This window comes from Homo sapiens, chromosome 7, assembly GCF_000001405.40.
Source record: "Homo sapiens chromosome 7, GRCh38.p14 Primary Assembly".
NCBI classification, from domain to species: Eukaryota; Metazoa; Chordata; class Mammalia; order Primates; family Hominidae; genus Homo; species Homo sapiens.
The window spans coordinates 41682762-41684057 of record NC_000007.14 but is presented as its reverse complement, the minus strand read 5'-3'; the positions used below and the strand labels follow the sequence as shown (position 1 = coordinate 41684057).

The 1296-nt window shown below is 35.1% G+C and overlaps 1 long non-coding RNA gene across 1 annotated transcript; it reads right to left on the bottom strand.

Moving 5' to 3' along the window:
• Window positions 1–420: 420 nt before the first annotated feature.
• Window positions 421–883, bottom strand: LOC107986789 (uncharacterized). The gene is made up of 2 exons (XR_001745187.2): window positions 760–883; window positions 421–669 (listed from the first exon to the last, which is right to left on the bottom strand). It is a non-coding gene; the product is annotated as an uncharacterized LOC107986789 (long non-coding RNA).
• Window positions 884–1296: the final 413 nt, after the last annotated feature.

Here is a 1296-nt window from a genome sequence, read left to right as displayed (position 1 = left end):
TGCTAGGGGTAATCCAAAGTACTTTATTTTACTTTGTGGACAGTGGGACATTTGTGTGTGCATGTATGTGTGTGTGTGCCTGCAGGTACATACATGAGCACTTGCATTAGCCTTTATTTCCTGCCAAGTTTAATAATGAATACATTTTAGGGATGAAGTAAAAACTTCACTGAATTATAAACGAGTAACCTTGTAATGAAATTTATATGGATATTATCATAATCAAGGTGAAAATTACTGAAAGAAAACAAAGTTAAAGTCAGGTATAGAAAAATACTTTGAATATGCATACATATGTATATATATATGCACACATATGTATACATGATATATATGATTATGTGTGTGTATATATGATATCTGTACACATATATATGGGACTGAGAAAGAGAATGTGTCATCATTTAAAATCAAAATCCATTTCATATAGGAGTTTAATCCTTTCTTAGAAAACAATTGTCTGAGGAGTTTTACAAACTGAAAAAGGGAATAGAACAGTGTAATAATTCTTTTTTTCTATCAAATCAAGCACCAGCTCCTTCAGTAGAATTCCAGTGTTTCTACATTAATCCAACTTCAAGTCTTCTTTCAGCCATGATAAGTCAGGATTCATTAGAAATTCTCCATTACACCCTTTTAGGCTTTTGTTAATTGTTCTGTAATTAGTGCCTACAGTAAGAAAAATAGGAAAGGCAAACTGTTTGTCCACAAGCAAAGAACCACAAAGCTGTTTCAGGCTGCTTAGAAATGAACAATTACCTCGTTTGATGATATCCAATTTCAAGAAGAGCCCATAATTCTGGGCGTTCTACCATGATTTCAAATGATCTCAGCAGATACCAGAGAAGCATCTTTCTTGCAGAAAACTTGTCAGTTGAAATCTGGAGATGGTTTTGGGAAATATTAGGCCAACTGAGTGAACAAAAATGATGAAGAATGTTTTTTGGTTTAGCTAACTTCTCTTCAGGAACACATCAGGGGAAGTGTTGAGAGAAGGTCCCATCATTGTCGGAAAACAGCAATGAAAAAGCCACCCAGGGCTAGAGTTAATGTCCTGCTGTAATTCCTGCTGTCATGGTGGTGGTGGTGCCTGCATCACTGTTATACAGGGGACCCAATGTTCTAACACGAATACTATAATATGGCAACAAAAGTTCCCATAGAAAATGCCTTTCATTAATGAAGTTTTATCAACATGGTTGAGTTCCACAGCCAAAAACCATTTAAAAAGTTTGGTACTTACATGGGACAAAAGCAATCATTAAAGGGAAACTCTTCCATTGTGAAAGGAAGAAA